Raw genomic sequence first — 22,843 nt, forward strand, 5'->3', positions numbered from 1 at the left:
ATCTTTCTGGCAGAAAATAAAAAGATTGAAGTCTGACTCAGGACTCTATGACTTGGGAAACATTTAGGGACCAAAGAAATCTTTTTAAATCCAGAAATTTACATTTAATTTGTGCTTCTGATGACTGAAGTCAAATTATCAGGAAAAGAAAAACCACAATGTGCAAAAGGCAGGCCATGGCTCCGGTGGCTGAAGCTGGCAGCTGACTATACACGTGGGTCATTTGGAACATGGATGGGGCCACTCATGCAATAAGGGTCCCGTGTTTTATTCAAGTCAAGGAAGTTGCTTAAACCTTCATTGGAACAAGGCAGAGAATACATGTACAAATAAATATTTAAATAATCATGTTTCTTACCAAATAAAAATAACTCAGCCAGAATTATATAATGAACACAAGTTCCAATTATTTTCATTGCAAAACAAATATACACTTTGATCAACAAAATATATCCCCTTAGTACTCATTAAATTCTGCACATGAGAAACTTGATACTTGGTTGCTCCTAACTTCTCAGCTAAGAGAGAATGGTGGGACATGGAGGAAAGTAATTCCTTATTGAAAAATTATGCATTAAGGAAGAAACATATATACATCTCTAAGACTCAGTTTCCTCATCTGTGAAATGGGCATATGGTAGCATGAAGATTAAAGGAGACAGATAATACAACTGAGTGTCAAGAATATTATTAGCTATTCAGTAAATTATAGGAATTACCATATTACTACCAATTACTACCATTACTACCAATATTTGACCTCACACATCCAGCTGCCTACCAGCTGGCCTCCTTTCCTAAGGAATCAAGGCTGCCTGTAGAGGCCAGACCTGAGAAGTCTGTACTGCTTGGTAAACAACAAAGGGAGATGATGACCTCCTGGCTTTACTGGGAGGGCTTGGATCAGGTGGCCCACGTTTGATCAACCAGTCTCAGCCAGGCTGAGGCTCAGTGATGAAAGAGGCTGTCGATGGCCAAACAGAAACAGCTCTTTTGGAAAGGGGCTGTCCAAAGGTGCTCAGGTCAAGTGGAAAAAGATGGGGAGGGGTTCCATCTGTGCTAGAAAACAACAATGGGCAAAAGGGGCATTTTGGATCCAGGTGAAGATCCTACAAGATAGATATGAGAGAATGAATAAGGTCAAACATGAACAAATTCACTTTTGGTTCAGGTAAAATTTTGTGCGTGGGTGTGTGTGCCTGTTTGTGTTTGGCTGAAAAAAAAATGAAGCTGCAAGGTAATATGGTAAGAAAATCTGGGTATTAATAGAAAACTCTAAGGTAATAGTTATTTAGAAAAAAAGAACAATTCATGTAGTAGTTTTGGAAAAAGCATCTTAGTTCACGCTTATAAGTAAAAATACTATCGTCTAGTTTTGTTTTTCCCATTAACTAGTTGTCTAATCTTTCCAAATCACTCAACCTCTCTGCACCTATTGCCTTATTTTTGCAATGGGAGACTACCACCTGCTTGGCAAACATCAAAGCTACTGGGAGAATGGGTGAAATGAGATAGGAGGAAGCTTTGAAAAATGTCACAGCACTGTGCAAATTGAACCTCAATTTGCAAAACGGAGAGAGCACCTGCTAAAAAGAAGAGTTTCCCTGTGTGGACGGCCTACCCCTGTGCTTTTCCAGACCCTTGACCTTCATTCTCACACTTAGTTCCCACAATGATCACAAGGTAAATGGGATTATCCTGCTTTTATAGGTGAGGAAATAGGGCTCAGAAGGGGTAACTTACCCAAAGCCACATAGTTAGAAGGTGGAATAACCCAGAGCTATGGGAGTCCTGGTGCTTTTATGCCATATCATCCCATAACGACAGCACAAGTGAAGGTATTCTGAATTAAGGAGCTGCTCAAAAAGTGCTCAGATGTAATCTTCTCCTCGGAAGCTCCTGGCTACACTGATCATAGGCTGCCATGCTTAGCACTATCTTATTTTTGTATCTCTATCAACTGTAAGTTCGTTGGGGTCTGGGTTCTCTAACCTAGAGCCTTGAATCTAGCACATGCTGTCAAATAAACCTTTGTAAAGTGGAGTTAAACATTTGGAAGGGAAATGTGTCCAATACACAGATGTACCTGCGTGTCAAAAAGCAGTGCTGCACCTTCATTTATTAGAAGATCCAAAGATGCAAAAGGTTTCTTATAAAGTCCTGTGGTGCAGGCCACCAATTTATTAGCCTCTTTACTATTCCCTCCACCTGAAGAAGGACAACAGCTTCCTCTCAGGATGCCACAGGCAGCACAAGAGGAGGAGCCCACGTCAAGGAAGAAATAAGAGGCTGGGTGTGGAGGCTCACGCCGGTAATCCCAGCACTTTAGGGGGTCGAGGTGGAAGGATCACTTGAGCCCAGGAGTTTGAGACCAGCTTGAGCAACATGGGGAAACCCCATATCTACAAAAAAATATAAAAATTAGCTGGATGCGGCAGTGTATGCCTGAATTCCCAGCTGCTTGGGAGGCTGAAATGGGAGGATCACCAGAGCTTGGGGAGGTTGAGGCTGTAGTGAGCCGTGATCAGGCCACTGCACTCCAGCCTGGGCAACAGAGTGAGACCCTGTCTCAAGAAAAAAATAAGGTGGGGGGCATTCAAATTCTCTGTTCTATCTCCTGGTAGAGATCTTATACGTAGTAGGGAGCTAATAACAGCAACTTTTGATACCCATGATTAAAGAAACTGTGGCCTAAGCACTAACGTAGCTGTCAGCAAAGGGCTTGAGAAAACAGGTACTCTCATACCCTTCTCATGGGAATATAAATTGGCAATTTATATGAAAAACCTAAAAGATGTATATGCCCTTTGGCCCACTGCTCCCATTTTTAGAAATTTATCCTAATGAAATAATATGAATTTCTTCTAAGTCTTACCTATGTGGATATTTGTCTAGAAAAAATTGGAACTCATGTAAGGGTCCAACAATGGGAATATTAAATAATGTATATATGTCCATCAGATAAAATCTGATGTAGTCATTTAAAATAATGACATGTGGGCCTGGTGCAGTAATCCTAGCACTTTGGGAGGCCAAGGTGGGCAGATCGCTTGAGGTCAGGAGTTTGAGACCAGCCTGGCCAACGTGGTGAAACCCCGTCTCTACCAAAAATACAAAAATTAGCCAGGCATGGTGGCGGACGCCTGTAATCCCAGCTATTTGGGAGGCTGAGGCAAGAAAATTGCATGAACCAGGGAGGCAGAGGTTGCAGTGAGCCGAGACTGCGCCAGGCAACAGAGTAAGACTCCATCTCAAAAAATAAAACAAAACAAAATAAAATAAAGACATGGGGAAGAAGTATTTAGTGGTCTGGGAAATGCCCAGGATATAGTACATGAAAATGCAGGTTATAAAATGAGATTATTTTTTGTTCCTCTGATTTGCTGAGTTTTCCTCAATAAACATGAATTTTGTTTGAAACAGGAAAAAACCTGACCTTCTAAATGTCATTTTTAAAAAGCAGAAACAAGAAGCTAGCAGGAGGGTTAAACCTGCTTCTTCCCGAAGGGTCACACAGGAGGAAGACGCCAGACAGAGCTACATATCAGGGGCCACCACAGGGTGGCAAATCTCTTCCTGGAGCCCCGAGGCTCAGCTCAGAGAGTTACGGGGGTCCTGCCAGTTCCCGTCCCTCGGTAAAGCAAGGCAGTCAGAAAGTCATTGTATTCCTATTATTTTCCTTGAGTGTTTACTGGAATCAGAAGCCATGACTATGCTCTAACCTCCAGCCCTCTGAGAAGAAGGCAGGCACGGCATACGGTAAGTCTCTGGACATGAGTCTCCATGAGAAATCGGGGAGGTAAGGACCCAGGGTCTCGGGAGACTAGAGGACAAAGAGGGTTCTGGGTGGCCTTGGGTAGGGGTTGGGGTGGGAGCTGAGGAAAGGACTTATGACCCAGTGATGAAAGAGTAGAGCCCCAGGCCCAGGGAGGCAGACAGCAGGGCCTGCTGCGGCCCAGCGGCCAGGGCATTCCACCCCTGGGCTGCCCCCAGGCAAGGAGGTGGAAGGTTTGAAAGGTCTGAAATGTTTTAACCAAGGGAGTGACTTGGTCAGTGCTGGGTCCTACAAAGATTCCCCTGGTGGTTGTATGGACAACCTCAAGGGAGGTGATTCATTCACGCTGGACATGGTCTCCAGGTGTGTGCACATGGGTATGTGGGCAGACTGGCTGTTCCAGATGTGGGACATAAGAAGACAGAGAGGGCCACATGCAGTGGCTCATGCCTGTAATCCCAGCATGTTGGGAGGCCGAGGCGGGCAGATCACCTAAGGTCAGGAGTTCGAGACCAGCCTGGCCAACATGGCAAAACCCCGTCTCTACAAAAATACAAAAATTAGCCAGGTGTGATGGGTGCCTGTAATCCCAGCTACTTGGGTGGCTGAAGCAGGAGAATCACTTGAACCTGGGAGGTGGAGTTTGCGGTGAGCTGAGATCACACCACTGCACTCCAGCCTGGGCAACAGAGTGAGACGCCATCTCAAAAACAAACAAACAAAAGACAGACAAAAGGGAAACTCTCAATTATTCAGTGCCTACTAAGTGTTGCTGTCTCAACACATTATCTCTTCTACTCCTTCCAACGATCCAGCAAAAACCTGTATTTCCCCTAGTTTACAGATGAGAAAAACTAGGTTCAGTGAGGTCTTGTAACTTATCCAAGGTCACATAGTTAACATCCTACACAACCAGCACTGAGTCCCACTTGCCTGCCTCAGAAGCCCAAACACCACATCTCCATGTGGGGGAGTTGAAAGGCCCCTATGGGCAGAGGCCTTCCCGTCTGACTCATGCTGCGGGTGTGAGAACTCCCGTCTCCATTTACAGACTCGTGCCGCACCCTTCTTTTCCCAGGCCACCTCACAGCACAGCAAATGCAAATTAAAATATGAATATTGATATCAAAATAGTAACCAAAGTTGGAATTTCTGTGATTGAGGCTGCAGCGTATTTTAATGTGTCGGGAGACAGGGAGCTGACAGTTGTGTGATAAGGTGTGAAAATGTCTGTTCTACAAGTCTACCTAGCTCTCCCGGCCCCACGCATGCTTACTCACTCCCTTCAATGGGAACAGTTTGGCCAGAAATTCAAGCCTCTGTGAAACCAACTGTGAATTTGCTCCTTTCAATCACAGAGACTCTAAATCAACAAGCTCGATTTGTCTTTTAAAGATCAAAGATTTGTAATCCCAGCACTTTGAGAGGCCTAGGAGGGAGGATCACTTGAGCCCAGGAGTTTGAGACCAGTATGGGCAACACAGCAAAACTCTGTCCCTAAAAAAAATTAGCCAGGCATGGTGGTGCATGCCTGTCGTCCTAGCTACTCTGGAGGTTGAGGCGGGAGGATCCCTTGAGCCTGGGAAGTCAAGGCTGCAGTGATTGTGCCACTGCACTGGGAGACAGAGTGAGACCCTGTTTCAAAACAAAGAAAAACAAAATAAAAAAAAGAAAAGAAGAAGATCAAAGATTCAGAAACTTTACAAAGGGCTGTGAAATGGGCCCATTTGGCTAAATCATTTTGATACCGAAGAAAAAAGAGAAAAATTTCAGGGGTTCCTCAATAGGCAAAAGAGGACATCCCTACGTGCCTATCTTAACGTTGCCTGCAGGTGAGGAGAAATGGATTTGTGGCCACTGCTTTTAAAGCAGGGCATTCTCATGCCAGCCCTGCATGGTGCTGCAGTGGGATGCAATTTGTTGACAGTCATGAGCCCATCCAGGAGGCATTCTTCTGGCAGGGAGACACTCCAGATGAAAGCACTACACTCTTCCTTAGAAAGCAATGGCTGGGTAGCATCTTTGCCATTTCTTCTTTTTCCCAATTTTGAGCAAGTCAGACTTCAAAGGAGGCCAAGCTACAGAAGAACCTGACCACCTTGCTCCATTTATCTAGAGAAATATGTTATCCATCCTTCTTTTTTTGTTGTTGGGTTGAAGCAGAGCAGGTATGGAATAAAGTCACACCATCGGATCTATTAACAATTATTTGCCAATGGTCACACAGATATCCTGAAAGCTCCGATTTCAAATGCTTTGAAAATCTGCAGCACAAATGAACAAGCGTTGGAGAAGGGGCCCAGCTCAGTCATATTAGAGATGGACCCTCCATACATCATGGTGACCTCTCCACAGGTCGGCCCCACATTTTCTATTTGCAATTCAAACCCAAGGCGAGGGTGAAGAGGGCAAGCTTGGGTTCTTGATTATATCTGCAAGGTCACCATTGCTATGCAGAGTTAGAGGAGGCCAGGTGGCAACCCAGCACATTTGAAAATTGGATCTTTGTTGGAAACTGCCTCGATTTCATGGCAGAAACCAAACTTGAGATGTCTATATTAGAGGCATCTGGGGAGTCACGAGGTACATTCGTTGCCAGATAAAGGGGAGGAGGGAAAGGGGAGAAGGACAAAAAAAAAAAAACCAAGGAAATATTTTCTACTGCTATGTGAGAGGTCAGGTGCAGCCAAATCCTAAATTAGCTCAAGAAAGGGCGCTGGAGAGTGCTGGAGCCCCAAGTCCCGTAGATGCGAACAATGCTAGAGTTTCAATTACAAAATAGCTCTCTTCCAAGAACAACTGCAAAATATCAAGTCTGTGGAAATCTGTACGACCGAAGGGGGGAAAAGTGAAAATTGAAAAGGGTGCACTAATAGATCTGTCAACAGTCCGATGGTGACAAGCCACATTTCTATAAAATGCCTTCACCATTTGTGTCACCTGAAATGTACTGACGCTCTCTATAGAACATTATCTCCTGAAGCTATTCTTGAAAAGACTGGCAGGGGGAAGGGAAGGGGAGGGAGACATCTGCTTTAGATACTATCAAGGAACAGAAAGGGAGAGAGAGTGGAAGGAAAGTGATCTAGATTGTTTAAACAAATCTTTGAACAACCACATTAAAAAATCTGAGCTTAACTGGTTATTTGCAGAAATGTTACTTATCATAAGAAGGGGATTTTCCTAAGGCCAGAGGCTTGCACATACAAGTAGGGAGGTAAGGTGATGTCTGTAGCTTAACGGTCTGCAGAGAGTGGATCTGACCAATGAGGGCGCATGGGGCCTTTGCCTGAGGAGGGACCCCTTTCTTTGCTTACTTCAGGGGATATTCTGATACCAACGAGCCTACGATCCAGGCATCAAGGAGGGAAAACTCTCCGCTCCCTGCCACTCCATTTTATATCTGCAATCCATTTCAGCTACATGCAACTGGGATGGGAGATAAAAAGGTATATTTAGGGACTTAAATAACATCCAAGTAAAGAATGCCACCTGCCAGTCTCTGGCAGGGTGCAAACAGACTACAGTTTAAGGTCTATCTGGATTTACATTACAGAGCTTTTATTTCAGGATGTGAATCTCAGCTGTTAAAAATCCACTCTCAGCTGAAACTAAGAATTTAAATGCTTAGTCAGAGCAAATTATTTTCCAATTAAAAGAAAGGAATCAATTCCTTCGACCCTTTCAAGTTAATTAGAGGTCCTTTCTGACTTCAGAAAATTAAAACTGCTTTCAATTTTTTAAAAACTGCAGAGCTAGACAAAGGGCCTTATTAGAGTGGTACGTTTGGGGGCATAGGGATAATGAAGTAGGTGATCCCAAACATCTTTTGGAAAACAAAACACTTGTTTGAGGAAGGCAGTGTGCAATGCAGTAGTGGTAAGAACACACAGCCACCAGAAGTCGATGGAGCTGGGATCCAATTCTGGCTCTGCTAGGCTCAAGGTGGCCCTGGGCAAATGACTTCACCTCTGAACTGTGGTCTGTTTACTCATGAAATGGGAACAATACTCCACAGGGCTGTTCTGAGGATTAAGTGTGAAAGCTCCTAGTCTGGCCCACCCTTAAGAGGAGCTTAAAGAAGGGTGGCAACAGGCCAGACGCGGTGGCTCACACCTGTAATCCCAGCATTTTGGGAGGCCAAGGCAGGCGGATCACGAGGTCAGGAGATCGAGACCATCCTGGCCAACATGGCGAAACCCCGTCTCTAATAAAAATACAAAAATTAGCCAGATGTGGTAGCACGTGCCTGTAGTCCCAGCTACTTGGGAGGCTGAGGCAGGAGAATCACTTGAACCCGGGAGGTGGAGGTTGCAGTGAGCCGAGATCGCGCCATTGCACTCCAGCATGGCAACACAGTGAGACTCCGTCTCAAAAAAAAAAAAAAAAGGTGGCAACAATAATTATGATGTAATTATGATGATGGCATTCATAATAATATAAAAAAGCCCTCCCTCTTACAGTAACCTCACTGTCTAAGTCCAGAAATTCAATCTGGGGGCATAAAAAGGAATGAATCAATGGCACTTGCAGCAGCCTGGATGGGATTGGAGACTCTTATTCTAAGTGAAATAACTCAGGAATGGAAAACCAAACATTGTATGTTATCACTCACAAGTGGGAACCAAGCTATGAGGATGCAAAGGCATAAGAATGAGACAATAGACTTTGCGGACTCGGGGAAAGGCTGGGAAGGGGGTGAGGGATAAAAGACTACAAATTGGGTTCAGTGTACGCTGCTCAGGTGATGGGTGCACCAAAATCTCACAAATCACAGCTAAAGAACTTACTCATGTATCCAAATACCACCTGTTTCCCCCAAAGGCTATGGCAATAAAAAAATTAAAATAAAATAAAATACAAAAGAAGTCAGATAAAAAAAGAAAAAAAAAAAAAAAAGGGAGATTCAGGCTGGGGGAATCTTAGCCAGGACATAGCTGGGATGATATCCCACTTTTACTGACGGCTGGTGAAGACAATCAGAGCCCTCCCCTCCCCACTCAGAGTCTCAACAGCGCCCACTGGGTTCTGCTCACTTGGTCCCCCAGGGCGAGGTAAGCCCACGGCATTCTGCTCAGCCCCACCCCCTATGCTGTGTCTGGGCGGTGGCCACGTGCATGCTGGACCATGGCAATCATTCCCTAGAGATGCTCCTTGGTTTTGGTTACAACCGGCCCTGGGGCAGAGGTCAGCCATAGCGGGTGGGCAGGTGCCAGATGGGAACACCAAGCCAATTTCTACAGACGCCTGTGAACTCAGGCCTGGTGGGGTGGGCAAGGGACAGCCCGACAGTGGCAACTCTGAACTTGCTTGCCTTTGTGGGTTTAAGCCAGAGTCTTAATGTTATTTGAAGACAGTTTTTTGTCTGTGAATATTTATAACAGTGTGAAAACTCCCGGACAGCTGGTAATGCATTTTGAAGTGTGTTAACAACACTGTATCAAACAGCCCTCTATTGATCCCCTCATACTTTTTTGTGGCCATGCATTTCATACATGGTGCTTATACATTTTGAATAAGAACTTCAAGTACCTTTTGCTTCAAGCGGTTTTTCACCTCTTTTATTCCCATTTTTGCATGATCTTTTGCCTGCATGAAAAATTAATTTAAGTTAAGATTCCCTTTCTGTTTCCAGCAGGGACTATGCTTGATTTCAGTCCATCGAGAATCACCTTCTCTGATTACTAGAAAAAGGAAGGAAAAATGGGATCATCAAGTCGAAAACATAATGGCTATGAAAACAAATACAACGGTAAAAGGTTAAAAAAAAACCCTTAAAGAGGCTGCAGAGATTTTATTTTCTGCATTTTGATGGCACAGATTTTTTTTTTCTTTCCGTTCCAAAGCCCTTCTTCTGCTCTCTATAATTATTTATCTCAGCAGCCTGGTGACAGCTACCAGTAAGAGTACGGCAGCCGTATTTCTGGCTGGAAGATTCAGAATATCCATTCTATTTCACCAGGGCAGGGCCCCAGGACCAATTTTCTGCCCAGGCTGAATGGCCGGAACAGACACATTGCTGGGTTTCTACAGTGCCATTTCCTAAATCTCATTTTGGCAGACACCCTGGCTTTGATTTCAGGTCATTTTAGACCTGTGTGGTTCTGCTGGCAGCCACCCATCCTGCTAAAATAACTACAGCTTAAGCACAGAGAGGACTAACAAAATTAAAAATGGAAATAAAATAAAACCACCCCGCTTCAGTGGCTCACGGTCAAATTAGCAAGCAAGAGAAGTCACAAGAAAAAATACTTGATGCTTGTGAAAGATGAAGCACCGGGAACAGATGTGCTCTCCTATTTTCACTCCGCTGTGGACACGAGTCTTACAAATAATGCATTTCCTATAGGGCAGTGATCAGAGAGATGATGAAGAATTTGGGACAAAAATTAAGTGGTGTATGCCACCACGAACACGCTTCAGGAAACTGCAAAGGAGCTGCTTTATTTTGACCCAATAATGGGGATTCCTGCAGGAAGGCTTTGCCAGACACCAGATAGACCATGCTTCCGGGTCTCAGAAACAGAGGCAGGGTGCAGCCACCTAGTCTACATTTTAAAAGCTAAAACCAGTAGCCTCCCATTTCTCTACTGTGGCAAATGTGAGCACCAACACTATAAATTAAAAATGTCACTGAACCAGTTATAATAATCTGCTAAATAATTTGAAGAACATTGAGACCTTCAGGAAAGAGCTCAGCAGCCTGAGTCATCTCTGCAATAGAGGACAAGGTATACTTAAGAGTCTCATCGCTTGGCTGGGTGCAGCAGCTCATGCTGGTAATCCCAGCACTTTGGGAGGCCGAGGCAGGAGGATTGCTTGAGCCCAGGAGTTCAAGACCAGCCTGGGTAACATACTGAGACCTGTCTCTCCAAAAAAAAAAAAAAGCCAGGCGTGGTGGTGCACACCTGTAGTCCTAGCTACTGGGGAGGCTGAGGTGGGAGGATTGCTTGAGCCCTGGAGGTCAAGGCCTCAGTGAGCTGTGATTGCACCACTGCACTCCAGCCTGGGCAACAGAGCAAGACCCAGTTTCAAAAGTAAGTAAATAAATAAAGAGTCTCATCATGCTAAGGGACTGATCTGTTTTGGCTCCTGACAGCAAGACCAGTACTTACGAACTTGTAGACAGTCTTCATGGCCGGATTTGCTTTGGTCTTTACAGTATTCAGAATTGCTCCACTTCCTTTCTATAATAAAAATGTCAATTAGCAATTTGGGCTGAAGACAGAGTCATCCAACACCAACAAAGACTGCTTCTCTTCAATCGAGTTAAGCAACATTTCAAAGGTATGTAAATGCACATCGAGAAATAGGCCTGGATGATAACTGGTCCCTGCCAGTCAGTTATGGTCATGACAGAAGGACTCTCGGTGGGAGCTGTGGGTGGGTGTGTATGGACTGGGGATGAGGAGTGTGAATTGATGGAAGGAGACTCTAGACTCAGTGCTCTGCTTGGCACCTGTTCCCTGGCTGGAGGGAACTGCATCACAGGCTGCCTAAGGCAAGGGCTTCCCTATGGGCATCTGTGGCTTTTCAAGATATTCTAGTTACCACGGATGACACTCAGGTAAGTTTAATAACCGTGGACTCCATAGCTGACACCAAGCCGGGGCAGAAAGTGGGGCCCTGATCAGCCAGGATCGTTGGGAAATACATTGCCCTCACCGTGCAACTTCCTTTTCTTTCCTTGGTTTTCTGTGGTGTTTTTTTAAATCTCTCTGGTAGGCTGCCTTCCTTAACATCTAAATCTTGAAAAAAGGAAAGAATGAATAGCCACAAATGTTCACCATGGCTTTAGTTAAATCCAACACAGCAATTTCTCGCTCACTTTCTTTAGGAGCAAAAGTGGGAGGAAGGAGGAGGGAAGGCCTTCCCGCTCCTAAAAGAGGCAGTGGAGGGACCTGAAGTGCACAGGGCACGTTTTCATAGCTGTCCGTGAATCCATTTCTCAGTCTCATCCCTGCAGACACGTCGTGAGGGTTCTGAAGACACCAGGCCAAGGGAGGCCTGATCTCTGCCTTCCAAAACCTCCAGCTGGAGAGGCAGGACAGCACAGTAAATAATTACAACAGCGTGTGATGACGGCTGTAATGGCTGTGTGCACAGGGAGCGTGGAGACTTGGAAGATCAGGGAAGGCCTTGGAGGATGAAACACTGGACCTGGTCCATGAAGGATAAATAGGAGTTGATGTAGGAGACGGGAGGAGAACATTCTAGGGACAGGAAATAGCACAAAAAAGAAAGTGCAGAAGCTGAAAAGCCATGGCGTATGCTGTAACAAGTGGCTGCTGTACTGCGCCATGACACACTCCCATGAGTGTATCATCAGAGAAGCATTAACTGAGGCTGGGAGGCCAGATGGGGCCAGCTCGTGAAGGGCCCGGAATGCCAGGCTAAGGGGTCTACACTACAGAGCGTTTTTAATCAAATTCATCACAGAATCAGGTCTGTGGTGGTTTAAAAAAACTGATTCGTATGGAGAGAGGCTGGAACCAGTGGGTACCTAAGAGAATAAGATACAGTAATGTAATTATCGGTCTTAACTTTTAGCACAATTTTTGGTAACTGCCCACATTAGAAATTTTGAGCTTTAATTAAAAACATTACAATTTGACCTAGAAAGCATTCTATGTTGTAGGACAATGGGAAATTTTCACCCACTCATTTATTCCATACTGCTTTCCAAAATTACTCAGTATCCCATTTAAATGGTCCTTTGGAGTATTGAAACTCCCTTTATCAATCAATCAACAAGTCCTTATTACTCCTCTCTGATTTGCCAAGTGCTGTGTTTGGCCATACAAGAGGAACAAAGGAAGTCTTTCATGAAGGAATTGCTTACTCTCCGCCAACTGCAGCCACTTCCAAGGGACTCGCCTGGCAGCAGTGCACTGACGCATTAGCAGGAGGGAACACTTATCACTTGATGCTGGAGTTGCCTGCTTCGTGCCCGCCTCCCCAGCAAGACAGGGAGCTCCCCCAGGGCAGGGCCTGTACCCTGCTCCCTGCTGCATCCCCAGTACCCAGCAGGGTGCCTGGCACACAGTAGGCCTTCAGGACACCTCAATTATAAACTGATGGAAGGGAAAGGCAAGATTTCGAATTCTTTAGAGACGTTGGAAGCCCTATGCCCCTGGCTCCTGACACATCAAGACACCTCACAACAACAGTCAACCTCCCAGTGATGTGTTCCCCATCTTCCCAGGAGCTTTGCTGTGAAAGAGGTTACACAGCAGCAATTTTTGGTTTGCCCATGATCATGACAATTGCTCTGGCCCTAGAAGGAGAACCCCCCGAATGCTCTAAGACAGCAACATTCCATTCAGCTCTCCTTGGCTGGTTTCCTGCAGAGGAGGAAGCCTCTCATGCCTTTTTCAGCCCCCACCAAGTGATGGCTTTGGACAATCCCACCCTTCTAGTCTCCATCTGGCATGAGAAGAGCCTGGCTTTACAAACAAAGGCATCTCCAGCAGAGAGAATGGAGTGCTCCAGGATGGAAGGGGAAGCACAGGGAAGCGGAAGGCTGCCAGGAAGCTAAGGAGGGAGTCCAGGGGGCTCTGAATTGGGTGCATGCTTACCCGGACAGTGGAGAGCCACTGATGGTACAGTTTGTCACTGCCTGGGGAAAGAGAATTCAGAGAAGCTGTCACTTAAAGAGGTGATTTGTCCTTGGGAGTCCTTAAAATTGCTTTTTTTTTTTTTTTTGAGATGGAGTCTCACGCTGTCTCCCAGACTGGAGTGCAGTGGTGCGATCTCAGCTCCTGGGTTCAAGCAATTCTCCTGCCTCAGTCTCCCGGATTACAGGTGCCCGCCACCACACCTGGCTAATTTTTGTATTTTTACTAGAGACGGGGTTTCACCATGTTGGCCAGGCTGGTCTCGAACTCCTGACCTCAAGTGATCCACCCGCCTTGGCCTCCCAAAGTGCTGGGATTACAGTCGTGAGCCACCACGCTTGGCCGAAATTGCTTTCAGCATTCAGGACTTGGAGAACCCGGTGGAGGGTCCCATGTCCTGTTCTTAAAGGAGGCGGCAGCGAGTCACTGCCAGAGGGTTTCCTTCTCAAACAGAGCTGATCATGCAGTACCCTGACTGCAAACTCAGCAGCCACCTCACTGCCTGCTGGCTGGAGGTCAGGCTCCGAGGCAGCCGTGCCACTCTCCTCCAGTCGCGCCTCACGGCCTCTCCATCCTGTGCTGCTGTGATGCTGCACCACCTTATGTCCCACCACGGGGAACTACTTAAGGGACCACGGGGTCCATAAACCAGCATCCTCGCAGGCCTGCAGGCCCTTGCAAATGCCGCTCCCTTGCCTAGTCACCACGCCCTACTCTCTCTGCTTAGTAAACTTGACAGCTCAGATGTGATGTCCTCTGGAGGCTTCTCCTTCCTCTGAACAGCCCTCGGGAATAGGTAACAGCCACTGAGACATCCGTACTCTGGGAAGTACTGTGAGGGGCACCAGAACAGGAACCCCCAGGGCTGTGTGTCCCATTGAAAGGACCCTGCTGGACACACATTGAACCCTCGGAGAGTGAGACAGAAAGAAAATGGATGTGCTGTTGGTAAACTCTGTTCATTTTAAATGGTGGGTCTTAACCTACTGAATAAGTGAGCTCAGTTTAACAACACCTAAAGCCTTTCTTCCTGGAACTCACATGCAACCGTTAGAACACAACTCCAGCCCAGCCTCCTTTGTCAAGCCCTCACATTACACAGCGAGGATTAACACAGCCCTAGTCTAACCGCAGCGAAATGCGTTTCTACTCCTTTTCCTGAATTGGTTTAATTTCTGATTGTCTTTAGTCATGCATTTCTCTCTCCTACCTAACACTCCTTGAGGGCAGAACTGGGTCCTCCGCTTTTTACTCTATGGGGCTCTGGACCTAGCAGGTGTTCAGGAAATGCTTATCAGTGACTGGCTATTGCTGTTTGTAGACTTCATGGTGATTTTCTTAACTGTGCTCTCCATGCAGCACAGGCTGGGAGGGCCTGCAATGTTTATAGGTGTATACTGTGCCTTGCTCTGTGAGCTTACAAACTGCCAATTGGATTATCACAGTAGTCCAGAATAGACACACACCCAGCAATAAAAGGGGGCCAGCAGCATGGGCACACACCCAGCAATAAAAGGGGGCCAGCAGCATGGGTATTATTTTGCATCTGGTTTTGCCTTCGCTGCCAAAGACTGAGGCGATGGGATTTGGAAAGAAGGTCAGACTGGGATTCAGGAGGTAGACTCAGCCACCAACACCTCTCTGGGCCTTAGATGCCTCCTCTGAAAAATGAGAAGACAAGACCTTCAGTTCTTCAGATCTGCAGGGACCAGGCACTCAACAATAATTTGTCATATTTTAAAGAAACAGGGCTGGGTATGGTGGCTCACACACCTGTAATCCCAGCACTTTGAGAGGCTGAGGCAGGTGGATCACCTGAGGTCAGGAGTTTGAGACCAGCCTGACCAACATGGCGAAACCCTGTCTCTACTAAAATACAAAAATTAGCTGGGCGTGGTGACACGTGCCTGTAATCCCAGCTACTCAGGAGTCTGAGGTGGGAGAATCACTTGAACCTGAGAGGCAGAGGTTGCAGCAGTGAGCCGAGATCGTGCCACTGCACCCCAGCCTGGACAACAGAACAAGACTCTGTCTCAAAAACAACAACAATAACAACAAAAAAAACTTACTGCACACAGTCCCCATGCCAGGAACTGTCCTGGATGACTGCACAAACCTTTCCTCATGTACTCTGATTTAATCTCAACAGGAATCCTGTGAGGTGGGACACGGTACGTACTCTCAGGACATGGATAGGAACTTTAGCTACAGAAGGGGAAATGACTCAACCAGGGTCTTGCAGCTTGTGAGGAGGCAGAGTCCTAACTTGAATCCAGGCCTCCTAACTGAATACTGCATGTGCTTCCCAGTGGACCACGCTGGCTACTACTTTAACTAGACTTTGTCTACACAGGGGAAGCAACTGATCCTAGGCTGGGCGACTTCATATGGGCCAGGGTGCATTTTGTCAGAAAACAAAGAGGAATTCTTCAAACATTTCAAGGCCAAGCTTGAAAGCAGTCTCTTCCTAAGCCCCAATAAAGGAAAAGCAAGTCACTGCCACTCCTTGTCAAATATGCCCTAAATGATAGCAGCCTGCAGCCCCGGAAGGAAAATGAGTTGCTTCTCACCAGCGTACTCGCCCATGTTGATTTCCTCTTCAAAAACATCACTGAAACCTTCGCCGGAATTGAGAAGATCTAATCGACCATCAATAAACTATAGAAAGAAGGAACAAAAGCACAACAGCTCGTACAAAGAAAAGGGGGAAAAACCATTCAGCTGGGCACCTTACTGTATCCAAGGTAGGAGTTTTCAAAAAGTAAGGTTCAACAGGCAAGTTTCTTTCTAAAATACCGGCTGCATATTTATGATAACTTGGAAAACCACACGGCAGATTTGCAAAGGGTCTGTCTGGTCAGTGACTGCTCTCTTCATCCAATCCCCCTCCCCTGAGCCTCTTTTGCCTGGGGCCTGAGTCCCATCCATGCCTGCGGCCTCAGTACTTAGAGTGGAGACAGCTGCAGAAATCCCCGCCAGGGAGCCAGACCCAGGCCAGACCAGGGAGGGAGGCACCTGCTTGAAGAGCTGCAGCTGTGTGGCGTTCTGCAGGAACTGCCTCATGGCTCCGGAGCGGTAGTGGGACACGAAGGCTTCCTCACAGAAAGTGATCGGCTCCTCCTGGGAAGTGCAGAGGGGAGAGGTGGGTCAGTGGCACGGAGCAAGAGCCATCAGTTTTGAAATTCCTATTTGCAGAGTTTCTCCATCTGCTATTTTTTTTCTTTTCCTTTTTTTTTTTTTTGAGATGGAGTCTCACTCTGTCACCCAGGCTGGAGTACAGTGGTGCCATCTTGGCTCAGTGCAACCTCTGCCTCCCGAGTTCAAGCGATTCTCCTGCCTCAGCCTCCCGGGTAGCTGGGATTACAGCTGCCCCCCACCACAAGTGGCTAATTTTTGTAGTTTTAGTAGAGATGAGGTTTCACCATGTTGGTCAGGCTGGTCTCGAACTCCTGAACTCAAGTGATCCACCCATCTTGGCCTTCCAAAGTGCTGGGATTACAGGTGTGAGCCACCGTGCCTGGCCCCCATCTGCTAACTTTTCTAACCCTCTGATAGTTAGAAATAGCTAACTATTTCTAACTATCTATTATCTAATAATAGAAATATCTAACTATTTCTAACTAGCTAATAGTGAAGTAGCTATTATCAAGAAATTCATTTTCTTTTATGGATGAGGAAGCTGTTTCAGAGAGGAAGAGTCATCCCGCAAAGTCACAGAGAGGGTAGAAGGCAGAGCAGGAACCAACAGTCAGATTCTACACCCCACATCCCCTTCCGTACCCCAAGGGCTATTTAGGGAGACATGCCCTCCAATGTGAAGATTTCTAAACTTTTCACTTTTTTCACTTTTAGCAGCGGAACCCTTTATTCAGATAGGATTTTATGCAGAAGCAGCCCTGCTAGGCCAGGCGCGGTGGCTCATGCCTGTAATCCCAGCATTTTGGGAGGCCAAGGCAGGTGGATCACCTGAGGTTGGGAGTATAAGACCAGGCTGACCAACCTGCAGAAACCCCGTCTCTACTGAAAATACAAAATTAGCCGGGTGTGGTGGTGCATGTCTGTAATCCCAGTTACTTAGGAAAGCTGAGGCAGGAGAATCGCTTGAACCTGGAGGCAGAGGTTGCGGTGAGCCAAGATCATGCCACTGCACTCCAGCCTAGGCAATAAGAGCAAAACTCCGTCTCAAAACAAACAAACAAACAAACAAAAAAACAAAACAAAAAAACAAAAACCCAAAAATGAGCTGAGCCAAGTGTGTTGGCAGGTGCCTGTAAGCCCAGCTACTTGGGAGGCTGAGGAGAGAATTGCTTGAACCTGGGAGGCAGAGGTTGCAGTGAACTGAGATGGCGCCATTGCACTCCAGCCTGGGCAACAGAGTGAGACTCCATCTCAGAAAAAAATAAGATTTTATACAGAAGGAACCCTGTTACCTGAGTTCCATAATGCAGAGATCAGCTGCTCTGGAGGACCTGGGGGTAGAGCAGGGGTGCTGGCTGGGTTCTCCAGGCTTGGCCACCTCCTCATCCCCCAACATCCCAGGCATCTTTGCAGTCCCTAGGCCACTGGCTGTGGGACATACTTTGAAAACCATTTACACAGTGACCTTAAACAATAGCAAACTGAAATTTTAAAATAATTAAAGAACGGGGATGATCAAAAATAAAATATACTATCCAATCGATTTTATGCTTATGCTGTTTGATAAGCAAGTTTGCTTTTACCAAACCATGTTTTATGAGTCAAGAAGACGATACCCTGAGTTAAAAAAAAAAAAATCCTATCCGTATAGAGCTAACACCTCACTTTTTCTTTGAACATGTTTGGAGTGCTTATCTACACAGACAAGTCTTTAATTTCAGCGGTGTATTCTCAATTCTGAAAGATCAGACTTTCAGATCTTGAGCTGAATTAAGGGTAACACCCCACCCCCCAGCCCTGGTAGCAAACACAGAGATGTTTGAAGCTCCACTTTTATACTATTTTAATGAGTTGCATGAGTGTTAAATTTACTGTCGAGCTTCCGTAAGTTCTAAGAGTTCTTCCTGCTTAAATCTAGCCAATATTAACTCAGAAGCTGGGCAGACTTATTGCACAAGGGCTGTGAGGATGACCCAAAAATATTAGGGTAAGGAGAATATTTATTTTTATACAGTTACACCCTACCTAATTTTACAAAGGATCTGAGGCAGCTTATATGAGCATCTAAAACAACAAAGAAAAACATCAGGGCTGCCAAATACATAGATATATAAAAAGTATTTGTTTGGGAAAAAAGTAGCTGGGTATGTATGTCCTATGTGGCATCTAAGTTAAGTTACAAAATTAGCTCTGAGCTTCCTGGCTGCTGGAGCAAGAAGGAAAACAATGCAAACTTTATTTTGTGTACGAGAAAAAAACCCCACACTAGTTCCTTGGGAAAAATAGCTTTATGTGCCATTTATTACTTTGGCATGGGTTTACATCTTCCTTGCTCAACAGCTGAGAAACCAGCTAGTGATAACTAACACAAGCTCAGCTAGAATTCCATTCCTGTGGCTTGGAAGTTTTGTTCTCACTCTTGGGACCAGAGCAGGGCAATTAATTCTCTCTCCAGGTGATCTCATCCATGCACACAGCATCACTCATCCACTGATGACTCCTGACAAATCCTGGCAGCTCAGACACCTTTCCGAAGCTCTATACCCATCCATCTCAACCTCCACCTGATGGCCTGCTGGCGTCTCAAACTCAAAATAGCCTGAAACTTCCAATTACTATCCCATCAAGACTGCGCCCCAAATCTATTTTTTTCTTAACTGTCATTATCCACAGTTACCCACAGTGGACCTATCAGACTTTCTAACTCCTTCCTATTTTACCTGTGAATTGTCTCACGCTCACCCCCGGCTCTCCATCTACGCCTACCTTGGCGTAGGCCTGGACAGGCTTAAACCACGGTGGAGGTTTAACTCCACACTCCTCTCCTGTTTCGTCCCTCTTCTACTCCAGCTCTTCTGGCTAGAGTGCTTTCTAAAATGCAAATTAGACCACATCACTATCCTACTCAGGAACTCTGCATAGATGTTACCTTTGTGCGATTATTTGACTAATGTCTCTTTTTCCCACTAGACTATATGCTTCACGCAGGCCGGAATGGTGTCTGTTTTGTTCAACATTGTGCACCTGGCAACATATGTGGCACACACAAGGGCCCAATAGGGGTGAGGAAAGGGAGAGCTCCTTAACCAGCAAACGCACCCTCCCAAAGCTGACCCTGGCTTCCTTTCCTAGAGTCCTTCTGTGTCACTTTGCCTCTGCTCTTCCACATACCTCATGCTCCAAACGCATCCCATGATCACACACCACATCCTTCCTTCCTCACCTTCTTCATTGCTTTTGCCAGTTCTATTCCTTCTGCCTGGACTGTCCTCCTGACACATGCAGGCCTCTGAGTGGCAGTCACTCATCCCAGTGCCGTGTGCACTCCTGGGTGCTGGGATAGTCTTCACTGGTATCCCCTCTCACCAGGAGCTCAAGGGGCCAGAGGCTGAACTCATCTCTGTACGCCCCAGGAAGAGCCCAGCCCCTAATCAGAAGCTCAGGGATGCTGGTTAAAGAACCACGAAATGAGTTGAACCCTGCTTCCAGCCACAGGAGCCTTGTGTGGTCTCAGTGTGTCTCTGACACTGTTTGGCCTGATGGTAAAGAGGTCTCAGAGCTCGATGCCAGGCAAGTGGCACCCATGCACAGGGAGTTGAGCTGCTCCAAGGAAATGCTCACTGAAGTGGCTGGCAGTCACTCCTGGAGCTTTGGCTCAGGGTTGCCAGGAAGAAGTCTGCTGAGGGCCCGATACATTCAAGAGAGTTTGCAACCAGATTCGTAGATGAGGTAGTCTGAGGCAGAATTTAGCTGCAGGAGAGCAGAAAGAATCTCGCCTTTGGGGAGACATAAACATTTTGGGCCTGTTGTGTGCTCACGGGAGGTGATATCCCCCGGACAAGATGTCTGCGCCCTAAAAATGCAACAGGACATGGGCATGGAAGGGAAAGAGTCAGGGGAAATGTGACAAGGGGCTTTTTCTGAAAAGAGCTTAAAGAACAGCATCAGATGTGTGAATTAGACATGGGAAGAAAGTCTATCACATGGTGTAGTGTTACCAGGGTGGGGTGGGGTGGGGGGTAAAGTGTCCACAGGAGTCCAAAGAGGAAACGGCAAATTCTCCAGGGCGGCAGGTCAGAAAACATGATAAGTGGACACTTCGGCTGCGCCTGGAAGGGTGAATAGGACTTAGGTGAGCAAATCCTGTCTGTTCAGGGCCCAACTCTTCTATCTTAATCCTGCTGCAAGGCAGTGACGTTGTCACCCAGAACCATGCATAAAGGTCTGAATGGCACCAGGCACAGAGGGCTCTTTTCCCTGGAGCAACTCACCTTGTAAGACAAAGGCAATAATCATAGTTTAACTCTCTGTGAGGCACAGTGCTACGCACTTCACAACTCTTTTTAACATTCTGGAAACTTTCATGAAGTCGAAATTACACTCAAATTTTACAGAGGAATAACTGAGGTAAAGACATCTGCCCAGGTGACAGGATTCAGACATTGCAGAGTCAGGGTTAACAGCTGGTGGCTTCCCAAACCCAGGTGTGCAGCATGCATGTGGTCTACTGCAGGCCTGGCTTCTCCCTGCAGCCTCAGTCCTAAATGCTTGCCCTGAGACCTCCCTGGACAGGAGAGTTCTCTTTAAAATTGGAACCCTGGCCAGGCACGGTGGCTCACGTCTGTAATCTCAGCAATTTGGGAGGCTGAGGTGGGCGGATCACCTGTGGTCAGGAGTTCGAGACCAGCTTGATCAACATGGTGAAACCCTGTCTCTACTAAAAATACAAAAATTAGCTGGGCGTGTTGGCGCACGCCTGTAACCCCAGCTACTTGGGAGGCTGAGGCAGGAGAATCACTTGAACCCGGGAGGCGGAGGTTGCAGTCAGCCAAGATCACACCATTGCACTCCAGCCTGGGCAACAAGAGTGAAACTCCATCTCAAAAAATAAAAACAACAAAAAAAATAAAATTGGAACCCTTTAGGTTCTCCTGCACACAAAGCACCAGCCCTTCAGTGACAAACAGCTCCTGGGAGTAAACAAACCGCTGTCAAGGCTCTTTCTGCCACAGGCCCAAGGTGAGGTGCCAAGCCACTCCCACCAGCTCGTCCACCTGCGTCCTGCAAGTAAAAATGGCGGCCCCCACTCCATTGTGCATGGAGAAGAGTAAGGCAAGGTGTCTCATTATTCTCCCCTGAAGTGCTGATTTAGTTCTACGAGGCTGATTAAGCCCTTTGTCTTCTTAGGTGACATTCTAGGTGCTGGGGCTACTGGCTGATAGCAGTGTTAATTCAGGGAATTCAGGCCGTGAGTGTTCAAGCTTAGATCACATTAGCAGAGTTTTCCAAGTATGACCTGAAGGACAGTAAAACACAGCTGCTTAACCCTGTCGAGAACTTTGTTACAAAAAGACAAGTTTTACTCCTGGATTATCTTCTTGACATATGGAATCCATCGGAAACACTATCATTAATAAGTTGAATCCTTGTTAACAGGTAAAATTGGTGATTTCAAAGGTTTTTGATACTTCCAGAAATAAATGACTCTATCCACAGCATTGCTGATATTTTTATTGGCATAAAAATAAAATCTCTCATCAGATTTTTCAGCAAGTTTCCTTGTTCTGAAGACCCATAGAGTATTACATTCTTCTTTTACTGATTTAATTTTTATCAAAATTCTATGTGCACATTTATGAGATTCTTATGAGAAATGGAAAGAATCTCAGACCTCTTTATGGACCTTGCTTAACATTTAAAAGAGTTAATGTCGGCCAGGAGTAGTGGTTCACGCCTGTAATCCTGGCACTTTGGGAGGCTGAGGTGGGCGGATCAACTGATGTCAGGAGTTCAAGACCAGCCTGGCCAACATGGTGAAACCCCATCTCTACAAAAATACAAAAATTAGCCAGGCATAATGGCAGGTGCCTGTAATCCCAAATACTTGGGAGGCTGAGGCAGGAGAATCACTTGAACTCGGGAGGCAGAGGTTGCAGTGAGCCCAGATCACACCATTGCACTCCAGCCTGGGAGACAGAGCGAGACTCCAGCTCAAAAAAAAAAAAAAATTAAAAATAAAAAAACAAATAATAATAAAAAGAGCTGATGCCTGCTGGGCTTCATACCTAGGTGATGGGTTGATAGGTATAGCAAACCACCATGGCACATGTTTACCTGTGTAATAAACCTGTACATCTTGCACATGTACCCCATAACTTAAAAACAATAAAATACAAATTAAAATTAAGAAAACACATACTTTTGGAAGATCCATCCACACACCCAAACATTTTTAAAGCACTTACTATGGTCTAGGCTCTGTGTTAGGGGAATGCAAACACGAATAAAATAGAGTTGGTACAAACAGTAATAA

At 46.0% G+C, this 22,843-nt stretch overlaps 1 protein-coding gene across 42 annotated transcripts in view; it reads right to left on the reverse strand.

Moving 5' to 3' along the window:
• Window positions 1-22,843, reverse strand: part of DENND1A (DENN domain containing 1A) — a 550,469-nt gene that overhangs the window by 61,728 nt on the left and 465,898 nt on the right. For 33 of the 42 annotated variants that reach the window (XR_007061334.1, XR_007061335.1, NM_001352965.2 and 30 more), the window contains 5 exons: window positions 16,408-16,512; window positions 15,963-16,050; window positions 13,354-13,394; window positions 10,891-10,962; window positions 9,308-9,364 (listed from right to left, as the gene is read on the reverse strand). Coding sequence is in view for 39 of the 42 variants with exons in the window: in NM_001352965.2 (NP_001339894.1) it covers window positions 9,308-9,364; window positions 10,891-10,962; window positions 13,354-13,394; window positions 15,963-16,050; window positions 16,408-16,512 (363 nt within the window). In the remaining 3 variants the exon portion in view is untranslated. The remainder of the gene's footprint in view (window positions 1-9,307; window positions 9,365-10,890; window positions 10,963-13,353; window positions 13,395-15,962; window positions 16,051-16,407; window positions 16,513-22,843) is intronic. The other 9 variants (XM_047423624.1, XM_047423625.1, XM_047423621.1 and 6 more) reach the window with 2 other exon arrangements.

This window comes from Homo sapiens, chromosome 9, assembly GCF_000001405.40.
Source record: "Homo sapiens chromosome 9, GRCh38.p14 Primary Assembly".
Lineage (NCBI taxonomy): Eukaryota > Metazoa > Chordata > Mammalia > Primates > Hominidae > Homo > Homo sapiens.